At 44.2% G+C, this 20,113-nt stretch overlaps 3 annotated features.

The window, feature by feature from the left end:
- Positions 17,183-17,684: an enhancer, noted in NCBI's record as "H3K4me1 hESC enhancer chr21:33506465-33506966 (GRCh37/hg19 assembly coordinates)". NCBI's record gives its function as "activates a minimal SCP1, AML or CMV promoter by ChIP-STARR-seq in primed H9 embryonic stem cells {active_cell/tissue: H9 hESC(primed)}" and the evidence as "EXISTENCE:reporter gene assay evidence [ECO:0000049][PMID:30033119]".
- Positions 18,463-18,512: an enhancer, noted in NCBI's record as "active region_18358". NCBI's record gives its function as "activates an Ori minimal core promoter by ATAC-STARR-seq in GM12878 lymphoblastoid cells {active_cell/tissue: GM12878}" and the evidence as "EXISTENCE:reporter gene assay evidence [ECO:0000049][PMID:35858748]".
- Positions 19,063-19,322: an enhancer, noted in NCBI's record as "active region_18359". NCBI's record gives its function as "activates an Ori minimal core promoter by ATAC-STARR-seq in GM12878 lymphoblastoid cells {active_cell/tissue: GM12878}" and the evidence as "EXISTENCE:reporter gene assay evidence [ECO:0000049][PMID:35858748]".

Below are 20,113 nucleotides of genomic sequence, written 5' to 3' on the forward strand. Positions count from 1 at the left end.
CCAAGTCTATGCCCCAGGCTTCACTTTCAAGAAAATCTGAACCAAGACCCAGCATCCCTGTCACTGAGGGAACTTTCTACAACCCCCCTTCAGATGGTCACCAGTATTTGCTAGAATCTCCAGGGATGACAGGAGTTTGTATACCTCAATTAAGTCTTACCATTGCTGGACAAAAGAGGGGGACAGGAAAAGGGAGCCTGGAGGTAACCAGGGCCTTCCACGGGTTAAGCACTGCTCTAGTTTATTTTTTCACTTTCATTGTCGAGAAGTAGTTTCTCTTTTTAAAACAGGCCAATTTTTTTTTATAAGAGCTTTATCGAGATATTTATGTACTATGCAACTTACCCATGGTAAGTGTTCAATCCAGTGGTTTTAAGAAGTAGTTAAGTAGTTTATTTTTTTAAGTTAAAAACAGACATTATTTTTTATAACAGCTTTTTTTTGTTTTGTTTTGAGACAGAGTCTCACTCTTTGGCTCAGGCTGGAGTGCAGTCGTGCAATTTCAGCTCATTATAACCTCTGCCTCCTGAGTTCAAGTGATTCTCTTGCCTCAGCTTCCCGAGTAGCTGGGACTACAGGTGCGCACCACCATGTGCAGCTAATTTTTGTATTTTTAGAAGAGACGGGGTTTCACTGTTGGCCAGGCTGGTCTCAAACTCTGACCTCGTGATTTACCCGTCTCGGCCTCCCAAAGTGCTGGGATTACAGGTGTAAGTCACCACACCCGGCCTTTATAATGGCTTTATTGAGAAATTTACATACTATACAATTCATTCATGTAAAGTGTTCAATTCAATAGTTTTTTTAATACAGTCACAGAGTTGTGCAACCATTGCCCCAATTTTAGAATGTCCTCATTACACCGAAAAGAAACCCCATACCCGTTAACAGTCACTCCCCATTTCCCTCCACACCTGAGCCCTAGGCAACCACTAATCTACTTTTCTGTCTCTATGGATTTGCCTATCCTGGATATTTCACATAAATGGAATCATGCTACATGTGGATTTTTGTGATTGGCTTCTTTTGCTTAGTATAACATTTTCAAGGTTCATCTGTGTTGCAGCATGTCCTGTAAGACAATGCCACCTTAGTCATTTTTGCTAGATCTTCTGGGTAACTTGCTGCAGCTTCTCCATCAGCACTTGCTGCTTTACCTCCTACTTTTATGTTATAGAGATGGCTTCTTTCCTTAAACTTCATGAATCAACTTCTGTTGGCTTCACACTTTTCTTCTGCAGCTTCCTCACCTCTCATAGACTTCATAGAATTTAAGAGAGTTAGGGCCTTGCTCTGAATTAGGCTTTGGCTTAAGGGAATGTTGTGGTTAGTTTGATCTTCTATCCAGACCATTAAAACTTTCTTCATATCAGCAATAAGGCTGTCTCTCTCTCTCTTTTTTAATCATTTGTGTGTTCACTGGAGTAGCACTTTTAATTTCCTTAATGAACTTTTCTTTTGTATACACAATTTGTCAAACTAGCACAAGAGATCTAGCTTTTAGCCCATCTTGGCTTTTGACATGCTTTCCTAAGTTTAATCATTTCTAGCTTTTGATGCAAAGTAAGAGATATACAATTCTTCCTTTCACTTTAACACTTAGAGCCCACTGTTGGGTTATTAATTGGCCTAATTTCAATATTTTTGTGTGTCAGTGAATAGGGAGGCCCACAGAGAGGGAGAGAGATAAGGGAATGGTTTTTCGGTGGAGCAGTAAGAACAGACACAACATTCATCAATTAAGTTTGTCATCTCATATAAGAATGGTTCATGGTGCCCTAAAACAATTACAATGATAACATCAAAGATCACTGATTACATACCACCATAACAGATATAATAACAATGAAAAATTTGAAATATTGTGAGAATTACCAAAATGAGGACAAGAAAGGAGAGGTGAATTCTTCCAGGTCACAGGAGTAGATGGTAACAGATCGAGAATTAGGATCCAGGTCTTACAATTCCTACTTTCTTCTTCTTTCGCATCCTTACTGAATCATTTCTTTCTTTCTTTCTTTCTTTTTTTTTTTTTTTTTTTTTGAGACAGAGTCTTACTCCGTTGCCCAGTGTGGAGTGCAATGATGCAATCTCGGCTCGGCTCACTGCAACTTCTGCCTCCGGGGTTCAAGCGATTCTCCTGCCTCAGCCTCCTGAGTAGCTGGGACTACAGGCACACGCCACCACCACCAGCTAATTTTTATATTTTTAGTAGAGATGGGGTTTCACCATGTTGACCAGGCTGGTCTCAAACTCCTGACCTCAAGTATCTGCCTGCCTTGGCCTCCCAAAGTGCTGGGATTATAGGCGTGAACCACCACATCCAGCCCTGAATAATTTCTTAAAGAACAGCAATCATCCCAAACACACTGTCATTAACCTCTAATGACAACTTCCTGGCAATCCAAGAGGAGCACCCCTGAGCACTCCAAATTCTCTTTTGTGTCTTTTTTTTTTTTTTTTTCAGTGAATTGGCTTAATGACAGGGGCTCTTGGCTCCTTGTAAATTCAGTTCTTCCAGATGGTTCTTTAGCTCCTGTTTTGGCCCCGTGGCTAATGAGTTCGAGATCTGCTGATGAGAATGGGAGTATTGGAGAGCCTCTGAGAGAAGCAAATGACGTCTCTGATGACGCATGACCTCATCACAGTGCTTGGTGGACTTAAAAAAGCTCTTCCAAGTCACTCAGATTATTTCCCCTGGTATAGATCTGGCCCAAAATATCCAACAGACCATTCCCAGTGTACTTTTCAAGGCTGAGATTCTGCTAAGATAGTGATCTTGGGAAATGCAGCCATTATTACTTAATAAGAGTTGGTACCTTTGTGCTTTGACAGACAAAATCTTCCCTGTTCATTAAGGGTAAAAATAAGAATTTATCAAAATTATTTTCTTAGCCCTGACACTAACACTTTTTGCTCCAATAATTCTTAAAGCTAGAGACGCACCTCATTTTTGTGTCTGGAGAAAAGCAAGCACATGGATTTGGGAATCAGAAAACCCAGATGATGGGAAAACTTTCCCAGTCCCCAACTGTATGATGTTGAGTGAGTCACCCAACCTAATTGAGTTTCAGATTCTTCAGCTGGGAAACAGCAATTGTAATAATAATAGCTATGTCACAGGCTGATATTACATGTAGCAAAGGAATAATTTAAATCAAAAATAAAAACATTAAATGTCTTCCAACTTGCTTGTTGGGAAAGGTTGATCAAAAAAGATGAGCAAATGGAGAAAACCAGGCACCCAGATCTTGAGGAACCAGCCCCAGCCAATTCTGCCTTGTCTGCGTGTAATCTATGTCTACTGCAAAACACTTCTTCCTTAGACCTCAGATGCCATGAAAATTCACTTCAGGATTGATTTTGTGCTTTCAGATTTTGCACATAAGGAAACAGTGGAGCAGGGACTAATGGCTCAAAATTGCACAGCAAATCAGCTGGGAAACATATGTGGATCCACCCACCTCCCGAGTGCTTTCCCATCTGAATCTCAAGGCCTCAGGATGTCATGTGATCTTTCTTGGTAGACCAGCTGGATTTCCATTTGTCTCTGGGCTCAGGATTTTGTATCATTTTTGACAGGCACTCCAGGGTCCTTTTGAGCGCAGGTATGTTTTTAAATATACTCCTTTTAAAAAGCAAGCTCATGAATCCAATCATTTATCAAGGGTGGCAAAAAAAAAAAAAAAAAGCTGACTCAATTTAACATATCAAAAGAAACAGAGTTTCCCCTCCCACCTTTTAGGCAACTTAAAATCTATCAGACTGGCTGGGCACGGTGGCTCACACCTGTAATCCCAGCACTTTGGGAGGCCAAGGCGGGTGGATCACAAGGTCAGGAGACTGAGACCATCCTGGCCAACATGGTGAAACCCCGTCTCTACTAAAATACAAAAAATTAGCTGGGTGTGGTGGTACGTGCCTGTAAGCCCAGCTACTCGGGAGGCTGAGGTAGGGGAATCACTTGAACCCTGGAGGCAGAGGTTGCAGTGAGATGAGATCATGCTACTGCACTTCAGCCTGGTGACAGAGCGAGACGCCATCTCAAAAAAAAAAAAAAAAAAATCTATTGGACCAAAACCACAAAGGTTTTTCTAGAATGCTGCAGAACAATGCAATTTCACCTTATGAGCTTCTTTCTCGTCATCTGTCCTCCCCAAGCCTTTCTCAGTTAAAACAGACATGTGGGATTTAAGACTTTGCCCCAAAGAGAAAAAAGACAGAATCAAGCAAAAACGGACTGAAGGGAAATTAGATTTTTCAGAGAAGTGAGAAAACCAGGGTGGCCCATGCAGAACAAGCTCTCTGCTGTCACGGGCTTGTTAATCACTCGAGGCACAACCTCTGAGTGCTGAGCCCCTAGTTGGTGCCCCCTCCATGGGCACTGGATGGTGTCCTGCAGGCCTAGCGGGAAGTCATCACCTGGGACTTCCCCTGAGCAGCTTCTGCAGCCTCACTCTGGGCTGCATTTAAAACTTTCAACCTGGAAGATAAACACTAGGACCCAAAGGGATTGATCTGGGGGGCCTGGAGCAAGCAGACAAGGTCAGGGGCTGGAGGGAAATGAAACCACTTTTGCAAAATTGAGACTGAGACAGTGAATGAGATCTAACTTAACCAAATCCATCTTGCTTCTAACCTCCAAGCTGTCCTTGTTCATTCCTGGGCATAGGCTGAACTAACTTTGGGAGAAACTTAGATTATAGTTTATAAAAACAAAGATGTTTAAAACTGCCCTTTAAAACAGGCCTTTCCCAAAGCAGACCTCCTTCTTGCCTGGGGACTAAGCAAGAATTGCCTTTGTAGGACTAACATTAGCCAGAAGATTAGAAATTATGGTTTAGGAGTCATGCAGCTGGAGGTTACAAGAGTCTGACCCTCCCTAAACCGCTCCTAAGATCAGTGCTTGAGACATTTTGCAGACGCTACACTTGATGGATCAGCTGGCACCATCCAGATTGATAAACTGAGTCGTCTGATCTTGTGGCCTCCACCCAGGAACTCAGTGCAAGAAGACAGCTTCCACTCCCTATGATTTCATCTCTGACCAATCAGCACTCCCAGCTCACTAGCTTCCCCCCACTCTCCAAGTTGTCCTTAAAAAGTCTGCTTTCGGAATGCTCAGGAAGACTGATTTGAGTAATAATAAAACTCCGGTCTCCTGCACAGCTGGCTCTGCATCAAGTACTTTTTCTCTGTTGCAATTCCCCTGTCTTGATAAATTGGCTCTGTCTAGGCAGCAGGCAAGGTAAACCCCTTGGGCAGTTACAGAAAGGGCAGTCAGATGTGGAGGTCTCCCACCTTCTGCTACCCCCAGGTCTACCAGCAGGGTGGAGGATGGGCTCAGAGGCATTGGGGAAAGGGAGAGAGAAAGATGGGATGAGGGTTGTGGAGAGAAGGAAGAGAGGGGAGAGAGATGAAACAAACAGGTACACAAAGACAAAGGGGAAATGAAAGATGGAAGAGGGAGGAGAAAGGAATCACTTGAGAATCACAAGTTAAAAGAGAAGTTTCTCTCAAGAGCTCTGAAACCAAAACCACACAAACTTGCCTTGAATTCTTATTTTCTAAAATTAACAGCAGAGCTTCAGAAATACCGTAGTTTCTGAGGAGTGCAGCTTTAAAGGTATCTGCATTCCCTTCAGGTCCAAAGGGGATCTGCAAAACCACCTCTCTCTCCCTCTGTACCCCAGAAGCAGCTTCCGTTTGCAAAAGAGGCTGCCTTTTATATTCTTTTACAATGTTAATATTTGTTTTGCTCCATTGGTTTGTTTTGGCTTTTCTAAAGTGCTGATGAGCCGCCGTTGTATGAGTTCTGCCGATACTCTAGTTTCAACCACAATTTGGAATGTTAGGGATCGGAAGATGATCCGAGGAAGGGAAGGGGTCACTGAGTAGAGGAGTATAAGGGCGAACTCTTAGCTATCCTTTATGCATGAAAATTTAAAGTATATCAAGTTCAGCCAACACTCTAAGCTCTAGTCACCTGCTCTATTCAATAGTCCTGTCCCTTAGAGATTATCTTGTGTTTCAAGTATTTGCTTACTTTTCATGGGCTTTATACTTTTGGCTGAAAATGTTGCTGCAAAGATGTGGGCAGGATTAAATGACCACATGAGGTTTCAAAGGGCTCCCAGTAATTCTCCACTCCCAAAGAGGCTGACACCTGATCTTTGAAAGACTTCTGCCCAAGCATTGGATTTGAGGACTGGAAAGGGTATCCGCCTTCAACCTATCATTTTACAGATCAGGAAATATTTACAAATCAGGAGCAGAGAGAGATTCTGTAACATATTCATACCCAAACAGCCAGTCCATGCCATGGTGAAGACTAGATGCTGAGATTCTTTGGGGAGGGAAGTCAGCAGTCCTGTGTTTATGTGTCCTACCACACTGCCCTCCAACAGGGGATGGTGCTTCGGAAGCAACCTCCCAGAGGAACATCTTAAGTCAAAAAGATGGTATCTTAGTGCTTGAAAGAAGCAATGCACAATCTGGTCAGTGGAGTGATGAAACCTAAGTGTCTGGGGGTAAGAAAAGGAACTGAGTATCAGGAAGAAAGTGGAAATTTGCAGTCTCAGGATTTGGAGGTCCAAGAACCCAGGACAGCAGGGATGTGGGTGAGATTAAAAATAAGATCAGTGCAAGGAATAGCTACATCGTCCCAGATCTATGCAGTGAAGGGACTGTATCCCTCCCTAACCTAGACCTCCCCAGATCTATGTAGCCAGGAGATTGTTCCTCCCTAACCTGGTAGAAAACTGCAGCAGAGTTTACTCCCTGGAGAGGTTGAACCCAAGTGCCTTTGACCTCAGAGACATCAGGAGTACCTCAGAGAGGCATGAGATTCTGTACTAAGAACAAGGGAATTAGGTGAAGGCTGGCATGCTCTTTGTCCATTCTTGAGCTCCCAAACACTAGATCCAGACTTATACCCCAACCCAGTCAGAAAAACACCCTTTGCCAGCAAGACTAAACTGTCTTGTCTAGTGGGAAAGGCCTACAGGTACTGACACTTAGCTATCCGTAGCGAAATGACAGGGTTCCTGGCCAATCTCCCAGGACCAGGTCTACCAGTCAATGGTGGACATTCCATACATGACAGAGATTTTACTCTCAATGCAGTTCTGTGCTTTGCTTTAAAAAAATTATTTGTATTGAGGTGAAATTCAAGTAACATAAAAGCAATCATTTTAAAGTGAACAATCAGTGGTATTTAGCACATTCTCAATGCTGTGCAACCACCACCTCTATCTAGGTCCAAGACATTCATCACTCTGGAAGGAAACCCCTGTGCTTCACCTTCCACTGTGGGCAACCGGGAGTCACCAAACATTAGAGGAAAAGCTTCTGACATGAATGACAAACGAAAAAGACAACAGACAGGAGGAATGCAAAGGAAACAGAGAGCGAGAAGAGCAGAATGAAAATTAAAAAGCAAAACTTCTGAAACTTCTCAGAAAGATGAGAAGTCATTGAATATTTGAAACAGAAAACTGGTGCTTCAACAGTGTTGGGGGGATATATCTGTAAAATGTATAGAATGAGAAAGAGCTCTTAGAAATTCAAAGTATGAGCATGGAAATTAAAATAATCTTACAGAAAAGATTTTTTTTAAAAATGGAAGACTTAGAAGTTGAAAAGATCACCCAGAAAGTAGGCAAGTAATGTAAATAGGAAAGACAAGACAAGACAATTAGAATCTATGAGTCAGTCTAAAAATGTCAACATTGAATAACAGGAGTTGTAGAAAGAAAGAAAGAACAGAGAACATAGAAAGATGTTATTAAAGAACAAATACAGGAAAAACTTCCTAAACTGAACACATTAGTCTCCACATTAAAAGGGCTGCCTGAGTTTCCAGCACAAAGAATGAAAAAAGAGACTAACACCAAGGCTCACTGTAAGATTTTAGAAGAGCTGGCACAGGAAAATATCTTAAAATTTCCTGGAGGAAAAAAACATAGGCCACATATTGAGGATTTGAAATCAGAATGACATCAAACTTCTCAATAGTAATAATGGAATCTGGAAAACAATGGAGCAATGCTTTTGAAACTTTGAGTGAAAATGATGTCTAAACTAAAATTTTTACCAGCCAATCTAGCAATCAGTCGTGGTGGTAGAATAAAGTTATTTTCAGACATTTATGAACTCCATTTATTAATATGCTCCACCAAAACAAGGAAGCAAATTTTTTTTTTTTTTTTTTTTTTGAAATGGAGTCTCGCTCTGTCACCCAGACTGGAGTGCCGTGGCGCGATCTCGGCTCACTGCAAGCTCCACCTCCTGGGTTCACGCCATTCTCCTGCCTCAGCCTCCCGAGTAGCTGGGACTACAGGCGCCCACCATCACGCCCAGCTAATTTTTTTATATTTTTAGTAGAGACGGGGTTTCATCGTGTTAACCAGGATGGTCTCGATCTCCTGACCTCGTGATCTGCCCCCCTCGGCCTCCCAAAGTGCTGGGATTACAGGCATGAGCCACCGCGCCTGGCCCTGGAAGCAAATTTTTAAAACAAGATGATATGAAGTCAAGGAAATAAAGGATTCAACATGGGGCTGGGCGCGGTGACTCACATCTGTAATCCCAGCACTTTAGGAGGCCGAGGCAGATGGATCACTTGAGGTCAGGAGTTTGAGACCAGCCTGGCTAATGTGGTGAAACGCCATCTCTACTAAAAATACAAAAATTAGCCAGGCATTGTGGCACACGCCTGTAGTCCCAGCTACTCAGGAGGCTGAGGCATGAGAATTGCTTGAACCCAGGAGGTGGAGGTTGCAGTGAGCTGAGATCACACCACTGCATTCCAGCCTGGGCAACAGAATGAGATGCCATATTTAAAAAAAAAAAAAAAAAAGGATTTAACATGGGAAAGAGGTAAAAGGAATCCCTAGAGTTTCTAGGGTAATGAAAGGGAATCCTAAGATGAGTAAAGGGAAGTGACAGAATTGCAATCTGGAATCTTTCCAGAGGCAAGTCCAAAAATGGTCCAGGAGAGACGTAGCTAAGACAAAAATGGAAGTTGACATGCTGGTATTCAAAGGAATTTTAAGATCTGGTAGACGCCATGAATTAACGTAAATACAAAGAAAATTAAGCAAATAGAAAAATGAGGCCATTATTAATTCTAGGAAAACAAAAGCTCTGCATGAGAAAGAAAAGGAAGCATGGTCAACTACATGGTTCAGAAGTATTTACGTGGTCAAAATAGTACAACATCTGGATATTGATTTTTTTTAATTTTTAATTTTTGTGGGTACATGGTAGGTGTATAGGTTGATGGGGTACATGAAATGTTTTGATACAGGCCTGGAATGCATAATGATCCCATCATGGAGAATGGGGTATCCATCCCCTCAAGCATTATCTTTGCATTACAAACATCCAATTATACTCTTTTAGTTATTTTAAAACGTACAAGTAAGTTATTATTGACTACAGTCACCCTGCTGTGCTATCAAATAGCGGGTCTTATTCATTCTTTCTATTTCTTATAGCCTGATTACTGATTTGATCAAACATTGTTGTATAACTATATCAGAAGGCTCCGAAGGCAGAGGAAGTGTGGGTGAGCACTGGGGGAGTGAGTCTGGTATAAAAGTATCCAGAGTGAAGAAATCAAGAAATGGTAATATACACATGTTATTGAGAAACCCAGAGGTAAAGACCATAAGAAGCGTTTAAAAAGACTTGGAGCCAGGCACGGTGGCTTGTGCCTGTAATCCCAGTACTTTGGGAGGCCAAAGCAGGAGGACTGTTTGGGCCCAGGAGTTCAAGACCAGCCCGGGCAACATGGTGAAACCCTGTCTCTGCAAAAAATACAAAAGAATTAGCCAGGTGGCACATGCCTGAAGTACCAGCTACTTAGAAGGCTGAGGTTGGAGGATCACCTGAGCCAAGGAGGTTGAGGCTGCAGTGAGCTGTGATCGCACCACTGCATTCCAGCCTGGGGTGACAGACAAGACTCTATCTCAAAAAAAAAAAAAAAAAAAAAGACTTGGCAGTGTTTGCCTCAATGGAGGAGGAATTAGCTGGGGGAGGAGTGGGTCAGAAGACTGCTATTTCAGTATCAACCTTTTAATACTGTTTGGCTTTTTAAACTAGGTCCATAAATATCTTTGATAGAAATGTAGATTAATTTTTTAAACTCCGTTACTGTAACAACTTGGCCCATCAACCAAGCTACAACAAATGAAGTTATACCCAGTGGCATGTGATGGTCCTCCCTGCTATAGCAAGTGGTTCACAGAGGAGAAACGCTACTCGCTGTCAAGTCCCATTTCTGAAAGAAGTGACCTCTTTTTCAACCCTGAGAAAATGCAGCCACTAAATACAAGTCAAATCTGGTTACCATCAAAATCCAAGTGATGTGTAACCAAAATATTTGTAAGCCCCAGGTAATGGCCTAGTTATCCCAGTATAATGTGTTGTAACAGCATCTTCAAATACTAAAAAATGTATAGTAGTTGCTTTCACTCTGGGCTCCTATAGCATCCTACTGCCCTTACCAATGGGTAATTTATCACATTTTTATTGTACTTTATTGTTGGGATTTTCAAAGTGTTTGTTAAATCGTCTGTCTTCATGAGGACAAAGACCATAACTAGTTAATTTTGTTTAATCCCCTGTGTCCAACACAGTAACTAATATATAGAAGGCATGAAGGAAATGTTCGATATATAAAGAAAGAAAAGACTAAATGAATTTAAAACAAATAAATAAAGCAGCATCCAAGATAATCAATGCATACTGAAAGTTTAGAGTGAAGAGGACCAAAACGAAGGGGCTGTTAAGAGTGACAAACACTGCAAAATCTGGGGAATAACAAGAATGGCTGACTCTTACACAGTGTTTGCTATGTGCCAGCATGGTTCTGGGAGAGGCATGGGTAAGAGCTCAATTAATTCTCATAATAACCATGATGCAGGCTATCACTATTCCCATTTTATAGAGAAGTAAATAATTGGCCCCAAATCACACAGTCCTCAAGCAACAGAGGGGCCATGCTTAGGACCCAGGCCACCTGGCTCCAGAGTCTGTGCTCATAAGCACTTCACATGAAGGACTGAAGTCCTCAGAAGCAAAGGCCTAAGGGATATGGCCCAGGGAGCTGACTTGGCTGGGTACATTCAGCCAGTTTGGACTCGTTAAGAAAGTTCTAAAGGAGAAGAGGTCTTCAGTAGAGAATAAGAGCTTGTAGGGTGAGAGCTACCTGGAACCTTTAGATTGGGAGCAAGGCCTTACCTCAGGTTCCTCAGCTGTGTAGGAGGAGGGCTACCCTTTTCCTCCAAGTTGTTGAGCTGGGTAAGGGCAGAGCCAGTTGATGGGAGAGAGTGCCCAGGCACAACTGGGTGTGAACCAAAGGACAAATGGCTATGTCTGGTGCTCTTAGGCAAAGGCTGATTGTCCAAGGTTCTTGTTCTCTCTGGACCCAGGAGAGAAGAGCAAGAAGACCAATCAAGTGAAAATAAAAGCTGGTTCCTGAGAATTTCTGCAGAAAACTGAGAGTGAGAGGACCCAAGGAAGCCCTGATTGGAGAAATAACAGAATCAATGCTGTGGGCTGAATGTTTGTGCCTTCCCAAAATTTATTTATTGAAACCTAATGCCCAATGTGATGGGGTTAGGAGATGGGACATTTGGGAGGTGACTAGGTTATGAGAGCAAATCCTTCATTTGTTCCCTTTAAAAAAGACTCTAGAGATTTTGTGCCCCTTCTGCCATGTGAGGACACAGTGAGACAGCCGTCTGTAAACAAGGAGGTGGGCACTTGCCAGACCCTGAATTTGCTGGGCCTTGATCTTGGACTTCCCAGCCTCTAGAGCTATCAGAAATAAATTTCTGTTATGTATAAGCCACCCAGTTTATGGTAACCTGTTACAGCAGCCCAAGCTGTCTAAGACAACCAAGGAGGTACAATTCATAAGGAAACAGATTTTCCACATGGTTGCTGTGGGCCAAGGTTGACAGAACAGAATCTCTTGGGTCCTTCCATGATGCCAGGGCACTGTGGTCTCCCGAAACATGAGATAGAAGCTGAGAGAGATTGATTATGAAAATGTCTGCTATTCTTCACCCTTCCTTGTATCTACTGCTTTCAATGTTTCTTTGCAGTTCTGATCCCCAAACATGTGAGAGAGCCCAGCCAAGATCAGCAGAGCCACCTCCCTGACCCTCAGCCAACCTCAGATGGATGGATGAGCCCAGGTGAAACTAGAGGGACCATCCAGCTTACCTGTAGACTTGCAAGCAATAACAATGCTTGTTATTTTATCCCACTGAGTTTCTGGGTGGTTGTTATGTAGGTATCATGAACTGATACAGGAACCATGTAGAATACCAGGAAGACAAGAGTTGCAGGACAACTCAGAGCTCCCCCTCTTCCTGCTCCTTGGGGAAGAGATATGGTAGGGAAACAGATGGACCAGCTAGCTAGTAGAGGCTATCAAATGAATTTAAAAAAAAGAAAAAAAAAACAGCTACTCTTTAATGAGCACCTACTATGCACATGGCAACTTTGTGAGGTGGGCATGGGGGCAGCAGTCACCGCTAGATGCCTACCCAATACATATTCTCCACTTCACTCTTCCTTTTTTACTAACAGAATCTTATTTGGGAGAGGAAACAATGTACCCATATTAAAAAATAATATTTCGTAAACTCCCTTGCAGTTAGAGGTGGCCATGTGACACAGTTTTGGCCAATGAGATGTGAGTGGATAGGGCTTCTGGGAAAGCTCTGTCAGAGGAAGGCTGTCCCCACTGAAGCATACCTTGTGCTGTTTGCTCTACCCATTTCTGGCTCTTAGAAAGACATTGAGGCCAGCCATGGTGCCTCACACCTGTAATCCCAGCACTTTGGGAAGCCAAGGCGGGTGGATCACCTGAGGTCAGGAGTTCCAGACCAGCCTGGCCAACATGGTGAAACCCCATCTCTACTAAAAATACAAAAAATTAGCCAGGCATGGTGGCGCATGCCTGTAATCCCAGCCAACCGGGTGGCTGAGGCAGGAGAATTGCTGGAACCCAGGAGGTGAAGGCTGCAGTGAGCTCAGATTGTGTCACTGCACTCTAGCCTAGGTGACAGAGCAAGACTCTGTCAAAAAAAAAAAAAAAAGAGAAAAAGAAAGAAAGAAGGAAAGGAAGGAAGGAAGGAAGGAAAGAGAGAAAGAGCGAGAGAGTGAGAAAGAGAGAGAGAGAAAGAGAAAGAGAGAAAGAAATAAAGAAAGAAAGAAAGAAAGAAAGAAAGGAAGAAAGAAAAAGAAAAAGAAAGAGAGAGAAAAAGAGAGAGAAAAAGAAAGAGAGAGAGAAGGCTGGAACTATTACAGCCATCTTATTACCATGAGGGAAAAGCCAAGAGAATTACAGAGACTTACACCATGATATTATTTAGCCTCTGAACTAAACACTACCAAATGCCAAACCCAGATATCATGTCGCATGAGGGGGAAAAAATCCTCAGTTTTTCACACCATACTTTGTTGGAGTTTTTCATGACATGGATCCAGCCTATTTCCAAGTAATACATCGAAGATTATTTTCATTTTACAGATCAGAAAACCAACACTTGGAGAAATTAAAAGCTTGCCCCGGGCTGCCAGTATATTATTATATTAATGATCTCCAGTGAATTCCACCTCCCAGTATCTATATCCTTCTATAATTCACCCTCCCTCCCATATTAACTCAGAACTTGACCATGTGACTTGCTTTGGCCAATGGGACATCAGTAAATGTAATGCAAACAAAGGCTTTATAAATGCACGTGCACTTATAAAGGGGCTTCCCTTTTTGGAATGGTCCCTCCCTCCACCATGGGAAGAAACCTTGTCTTCACATGTTTCTCACATGAGAGACCAGGATGAGAAAAGACCACATGGAGAAAGAGGCCCACCTGTCCCAGTGATTCTAGACATTCCCCCTGGGACCTGCCAGCCCTCGCTGCAGCCACACAAGTAACCCCTGCAAAGACCGGCAGAGGAGCCTCCCAACTGAGTCCCATCCAAACTGCAGAATTTTTGAACAAATACATGGTTGTTAATTCAAACCACGAAACATTGGGGTGGTTTGTTACACAAAAGTATATAACTGCTACGCCTAGCTAATAAATGGCAATAGCAGAACTTGAATTTAGATCTGTTTGACACCAAGGGCCACGTTTGTAACCACTCTCCTATTCCCCACCACCATACTCCTGTTTTACTTGTTTAGTCTACACGCTTCCCCCAGGCCTGAGGAAAGACTTGCATTTCCCGTTCAGATTCTGTAAAATCACTTTCCCACGTTGGTGGCTTTTCCTTTCTACTCTGAGCTCTGGACTCTAAGTTGACAGAGTTCCTGTCGGAAAACAAAGAGCATCTGATGCCGACTGAACCTCCAGACACAATCTTGCTCTGATCTCCATTCTCCCGGCTCCAACGCCTTCAACATGTGTGCAGAACTGAGTCAATGATGTCAGAGAGGTGGAACTATTCCCAGAGGGCATTTCATTCACCTAATAATAAAATGTGTGTGTACCTCTCCACTGCCAATCCCTTCTGCAATTAAAGTAGGAACATTTTGCATTCAGGGTGTTCTTGTCATGACTGAAGCCTCAAAGGGCTTTGCAACCCTGGGTGAACCCTCCCGATACCAAGGCCCGTATCTGCCAATCCCTGTCACCCAACACTCCCTTGAGATGACCTCAAGGCATGTATGCTGAATTGAATACCTTTTCCAAAAAGAACCTCTCTGAAGACATCTATTTAACTTGCATTTTCTATGGTACTAGCGTGGTTTAGTTAGGGACATGGACCCTATGTGTGTTGAGGATTTGGTGTAGGTTTCACAGTCTGGCTGTTGGTACTAGCTTCCCCTGTGGCACCTCAGTTCATCCCTGTGTGGCCTCTCATCTTCCAGTAGGTCCGGCCAGCTTCCTTATGTGACATCCACAAGAAAATGTTCCAGCTTTGTAAGTCAGACAGTGTCACTTTTACCACATTCATTTCATTAAAGAAAGTCGCATGTTTCCAAGAGTGAGAAAACAGACTCTACTTCTTGAGCTGCCAAGCACCTAGGGCCATATTGAATCTTCTATGCCTGTATTCAAGGTGAATTGTTGTTATTGACTATTACTTAGGCTGAAGAATGGGACTGACCTCTTTAAGAGTAATGCTGAGTCATCCAGTCAGCCTCAGCCCAAAGACAACACTCCAAGCTGACAGGCGATATTGAGGTCAGTGCAGACACACGGTTTTAGAGCAGAGCAAAAATCACAAGACAGGTCAACAAAGAGAAAGACTGGAGGTGTAAGGACTGCCCTGAAGAGGCACCTGAGAACCTTTCACGGGTGAGAACCACAAAGAGAAATTGAGGCGGCTGGGAGGAGTGGGGAGGGATGAGGGTTGGGCAAGTACCTACCATGTACCAGGTGCATGTCACGAAGGCCTCACACAACCCATCATCATCCTCGTTGCAAATCCTCACACTATGCTAGTGCCAGGGCTGTTGTGCTAATCACTTTATGCAAATGACTTAGTTAATATCAGCAACAATTCTGAGATAGGTGTCACTGTGTCTCCCATCTCACAAATAAAAGAAAACTAAGTCCCAGAGAGGTTAAGTAACTATCCCGAAGTCACACAGCTAGTAGCCAATGGAGTTAGGTTGGGCCATTGTACAGAGGAGAAAAATGAGGCTCAGAGAGATTAAATAACTTGCCAAAGAACACAGAATTGAACTAAGAGTCATGCCTAAATCTTTCTGACTCCCAAAAACGGGGCTCTTTCCTTAAGTGCACTGTGTTGCCTCTGAAGTATTTGCATCATGAGAAAGATTATTCCAGACCCTTCCAGAAAGAGAAGACTGGCTGCCATGGAAGAGGCAGACCCAGTCACCCAGACCTTCTTCATGAAGCAAATTTAACATGAAATTAAAAGTGGGCATTTAAGAATACACTTAAGCTATGAATACACTGTATGCTGCACCCCTAATAATACAAGTGAAGTCAGAAAAGGCAGTGTGTGCCTGGTGCTTACATTTCTTTTCTTTTCTTTCTATTTTGATGTTTAATTTCTTGGCAGTAAGGAGAATTAACTACTTCCTGTCTTAAACAAATGGGGACATATTTATGGGAAGCTGTGTGTAAACACAGGTAGGGTTTCACTGGGAAAGCCTTTGCAGTTTGATTCTCCTGTCACCCCTAAGCTCCCAGCTGGACAGTCTAGTCTAAAAACGGCACTGCTCACGCCTGTAATCCCAGCACTTTGGGAGGCCATGGTGGGCAGATCAGTTGATGCCAGGAGTTCAAGACCAGCCTGGCCAACTTGGCGAAACCCTGTCTCTACTAAAAATACAAAAATTAGTGGGACGTGGTGGTGGGTGCCTGTAATCCCAGCTACTTGGGAGGCTGAGGCATGAGAATCGCTTGAACCCAGGAGGTGGAGGTTGCAGTGAGCCAAGATCACGCCACTGCACTCCAGCGTGGACAACAGAGTAAGACTCTGTCAAAAACAAACAAACAAACAAACAAACAAACAGACAAACATCTCCGACTTCCCTAATGCCCAAGACAGAAGGAAGGGGCCAGTCTAGAAATCCCTACTCAGAGTCGGTCCAGCCTGCAGGCAGCGAGAGGATTTCCCCTGGATCCTGAGCCTATCTGTGCCTTCCTTGAGGCAGCGTTGGTGGGTTCTAGACGGAGAAGAGGGAACGAGGAATTTAGTGGGAAAACCACCGCTCTGGAAGGTGCCCTTGGGAAGGCAGCTCGGACCCTAATCAGACCTAACAAATTCCTGAGTAGAAAAAGAAGAGACGTTGGCATGGGGTCTTTCCAGTCTGTGCTTGGAGAAACGCCCACTTGGGTTTTGGCCATCTGCCTATTATGTTCTAGAAAATTCCACAGGACCCTGAGGGATGAGGCCATTCTGGGAGGGAGCTGAAAAGCAGGATGTGACAGCAGAGATAAGGGATCCTGGCAGGGATCTCCTGCAGACAGAGGGGTGCAGAGCCACCCTCCCTGGGAAGAGAGCTCGGGCTTCCCACCTTCAGACTGGGCCTCAGCTCATGACCCATTCCAAAGATGGAAAAACTTAACTGATTACCATTTTCATGAAACATCTTTGATTTTTCATTGTCTTAGTGAGCCTGGGTTGTAGTGAAGCTTGCAGTTGAGACAAGGATGGAGAACGAGCACTAGGGAGAAGGTGGCAGGGCTGTGTTAAAAATATCTGAATGGCCGGGCGCAGTGGTTCACGATCTGTAATCCCAGCACTTTGGGAGGTCGAGGCAGGTGGATCACCTGAGATCAGGAGTTCAAGACCAGTCTGACCAACAAGGTAAAACCCCGCCTCTACTAAAAATACAAAAATTAGCCAGGCATGGTGGTGTGCACCTGTAATCCCAGCTACTCAGGAGGCTGAGGCAGGACAGTAGCGTGAACCCGGGAGGCGGAGGTTGCAGTGAGCTGAGATTGCGCCACTGCACTCCAGCCTGGGCGACAGAGCGAGACTCCATCTCAAAACAAGCAAAAACAAACAAACAAACAAAACATTCTGTGAGTGCAGGGGACCTTGCCACGCAACAGGAGATGCTGGTTTGTGGGCCAGTGTCTCTATTAGCATTTCCCTGGAGTCTCCCTTTCCACCTGCCACCATGGCCCCCAGGACATGCGGGATCCCTGGGGACAGTGGGCAGCAGCCACAAATCCTCCCAGGGCTCCTCCTCGCTTAGCTCCCTCCTGCCCTCCGAGCCTCTTCCTTCCCTCCCCATCCCCTCTCTGAGCCGGCATTTCTTCCATCTGCCCAGTCCCTGTCTACACATTATTCCTCTTTTGTGATCTCAATGTAATGGAGTGAAATTATCACATAAACACAGGAAGAGTCTCTGGGCCTCTTCTCCTCTCCCCACCTCCTCTCCAGCATCCATCTCCCTCTGGCATTGTCTGTGTGGGCTGTTGGCCACATCTCACTCCCCGCTCCCTGCAGGCACAAACCCAAAAGCCTCACACATTTCAGGCCTCAGAGGGAGGGAGCAGGCCATGGCACATCTGTCCGAGACCTCCCCCTGCCTTTCGTTTTGGGACTGTTCAGACCAACCCACTTTTTTCTTTTCCCCAGTGCCCAAGGGTCTCACCACTTAAAATCACACTCAGATTTCCACGGCAAGTTGAAGCTTTGGCACCTCAGGTGTCCACTGAAATCTCAAACACCCCACAGTCACCCCCAGAGGATTAAGTAGCTTCGAGCTCAAACTTGGAGGATTTCTGGAGAAATGGGGTTCCAGCAGGTACTGGATTCAGTTCAGTCTAACTTCCCCGGAATCATTTCATCCCTCTAGAAAAGACTTGGGGTTCCCAAAGTGTAACCTGGCCCTCTGGAGAGGGCGTGAGGGAGTGAGGTGCTTGTAATGGCCCAAACACTGCTGCTGGACTTGAACTTGATCATCATCAAACAGTTTACTGCTAGGATTCTGATTTTCAAGGAGCTAGGAGTGACTCACTTCATTAAAAGCAAGCACACACTATGTACCCCAGCTTGCTCCGGTTTCTACATGACCCCAGCATTTCCCCAGTGCCTGCAGGAGTACCTGGCACATAGGGGGCTTCCCAAAACGTTTGTTGATTGAAGAAATGACCTCACCCTCTCAAGAGGCTGCCAGCCTCCCGCAGCCCGCAGGAAAGGAATCTGGAAGCTCCCTGCAGAGGGGAAGTTGTCTGATGGTCATCTTTTAGTTTGTTTTCTCTAAGCCTTCACAGTGGGTACTGACTACATTCACCGTTCATATTTTACAGAGAAAAATATTCATCACTTCCCTCTCAGAAAATCAAACGCTGCTTTGCATGTTGGAGAAGAAGCACGATCTAAAAATCCCCACTGGGTAGAGCCAGGCAGAGTGATTCATACCCTCTATTCAGAGGCAAGAATGACATATGTCGTGCACATGTGCCCAGCGCCGACCAAGCGGCCAAGCTGGATTCTCAGAGCAGCCCACTCAGAAGAACATTCCTTATTTTTACCCTTTGCCAAAAACAGAAACTCACACCAATGCTCCCTCATAAATAGCCTTGCCATTTCAGAAGGCTGCTTCGAAGTACAAGATGCTCAGTGGAACTGAGACCACGGAAGCACGACTGTGGTTTATAGAAACTGAATTAGACTCATTATCTAAGAATGAAAGCATTCAGCTTCTAAATATACAGTAGCATTTATTTCTGGCCCACCCTCCGTGTTTGTGTACTTTTTATTTTTTTTTTTAGAAACCTATACCTTTTTAAAGACACTCTCTACAGCACTTGCCACAAAGGACCAGTTTCTAAGTGTGGTTTAAAATAGCTGGTGGCCTCTGGTGCAGTAAAAGGGAAAATCGGAGGAGGGCAGCACCTGAGAAGTGCAGAGACACAGGTGTGTGGTGATCCAGAGGTCTGGGGGAGGATTTTTGTTACTTTGAAAAGCAGATGGAGACTCCACAGCTGTAAGAAGAGCAAGAAGAACAAGTTCTTGCAAGGAACATACTTGGTAAATATAATGATGCTTTATATCAGCACGATTGTCCCAAGACACAGGAAAAATGACAACAAAACCATTCCAATGGCTCCTTTGGGAAGAAGTAACTATGACGCATCACCCTCTTTTGATTTATAATTGGGGAAACTGAGGCTAACTGAGATGAAGCATTGTTCCCAACGTTGTGCAGTAGATGCGAGCCCTAGGTTCTGGCTGTTTTCCACTGATTCGTCAGCCATGAATTTCAACAGTTGGGTGAGATCTGGCTCTCATCCAAACCCTGTGCCAGCAGAAATGATCTTTGTTTGCGGGCAAAGAAGGCAAGAGTAGGAAGGGGACAATGATGGTGTCTGCCTTGACCCCGGTGGGAAGCATCACTGGGTTGTTTCTCCTCCGTGATTACTCACAGCCTAACTGCAATCCATTCTCTCCTGTTTTGCAGAGGTTCTCATCCTGAGTTTCCCCAAACAGCTCCTATTGGACCAAGTCTAGTCTTACAATCCCGTGGTGGGGAGAAATGGCCCCCCAGAGATATGCCCACATCCTAATCCCTAGAACTTGTGGATATGGCCTTATTTGGATAAAAGGTCTTTGCAGATGTAATTAAGTTAAAGATTTTAATGAGGAAATC

The sequence above is a fragment of the Homo sapiens genome, chromosome 21 (genome assembly GCF_000001405.40).
Source record: "Homo sapiens chromosome 21, GRCh38.p14 Primary Assembly".
Classification (NCBI taxonomy): Eukaryota; Metazoa; Chordata; class Mammalia; order Primates; family Hominidae; genus Homo; species Homo sapiens.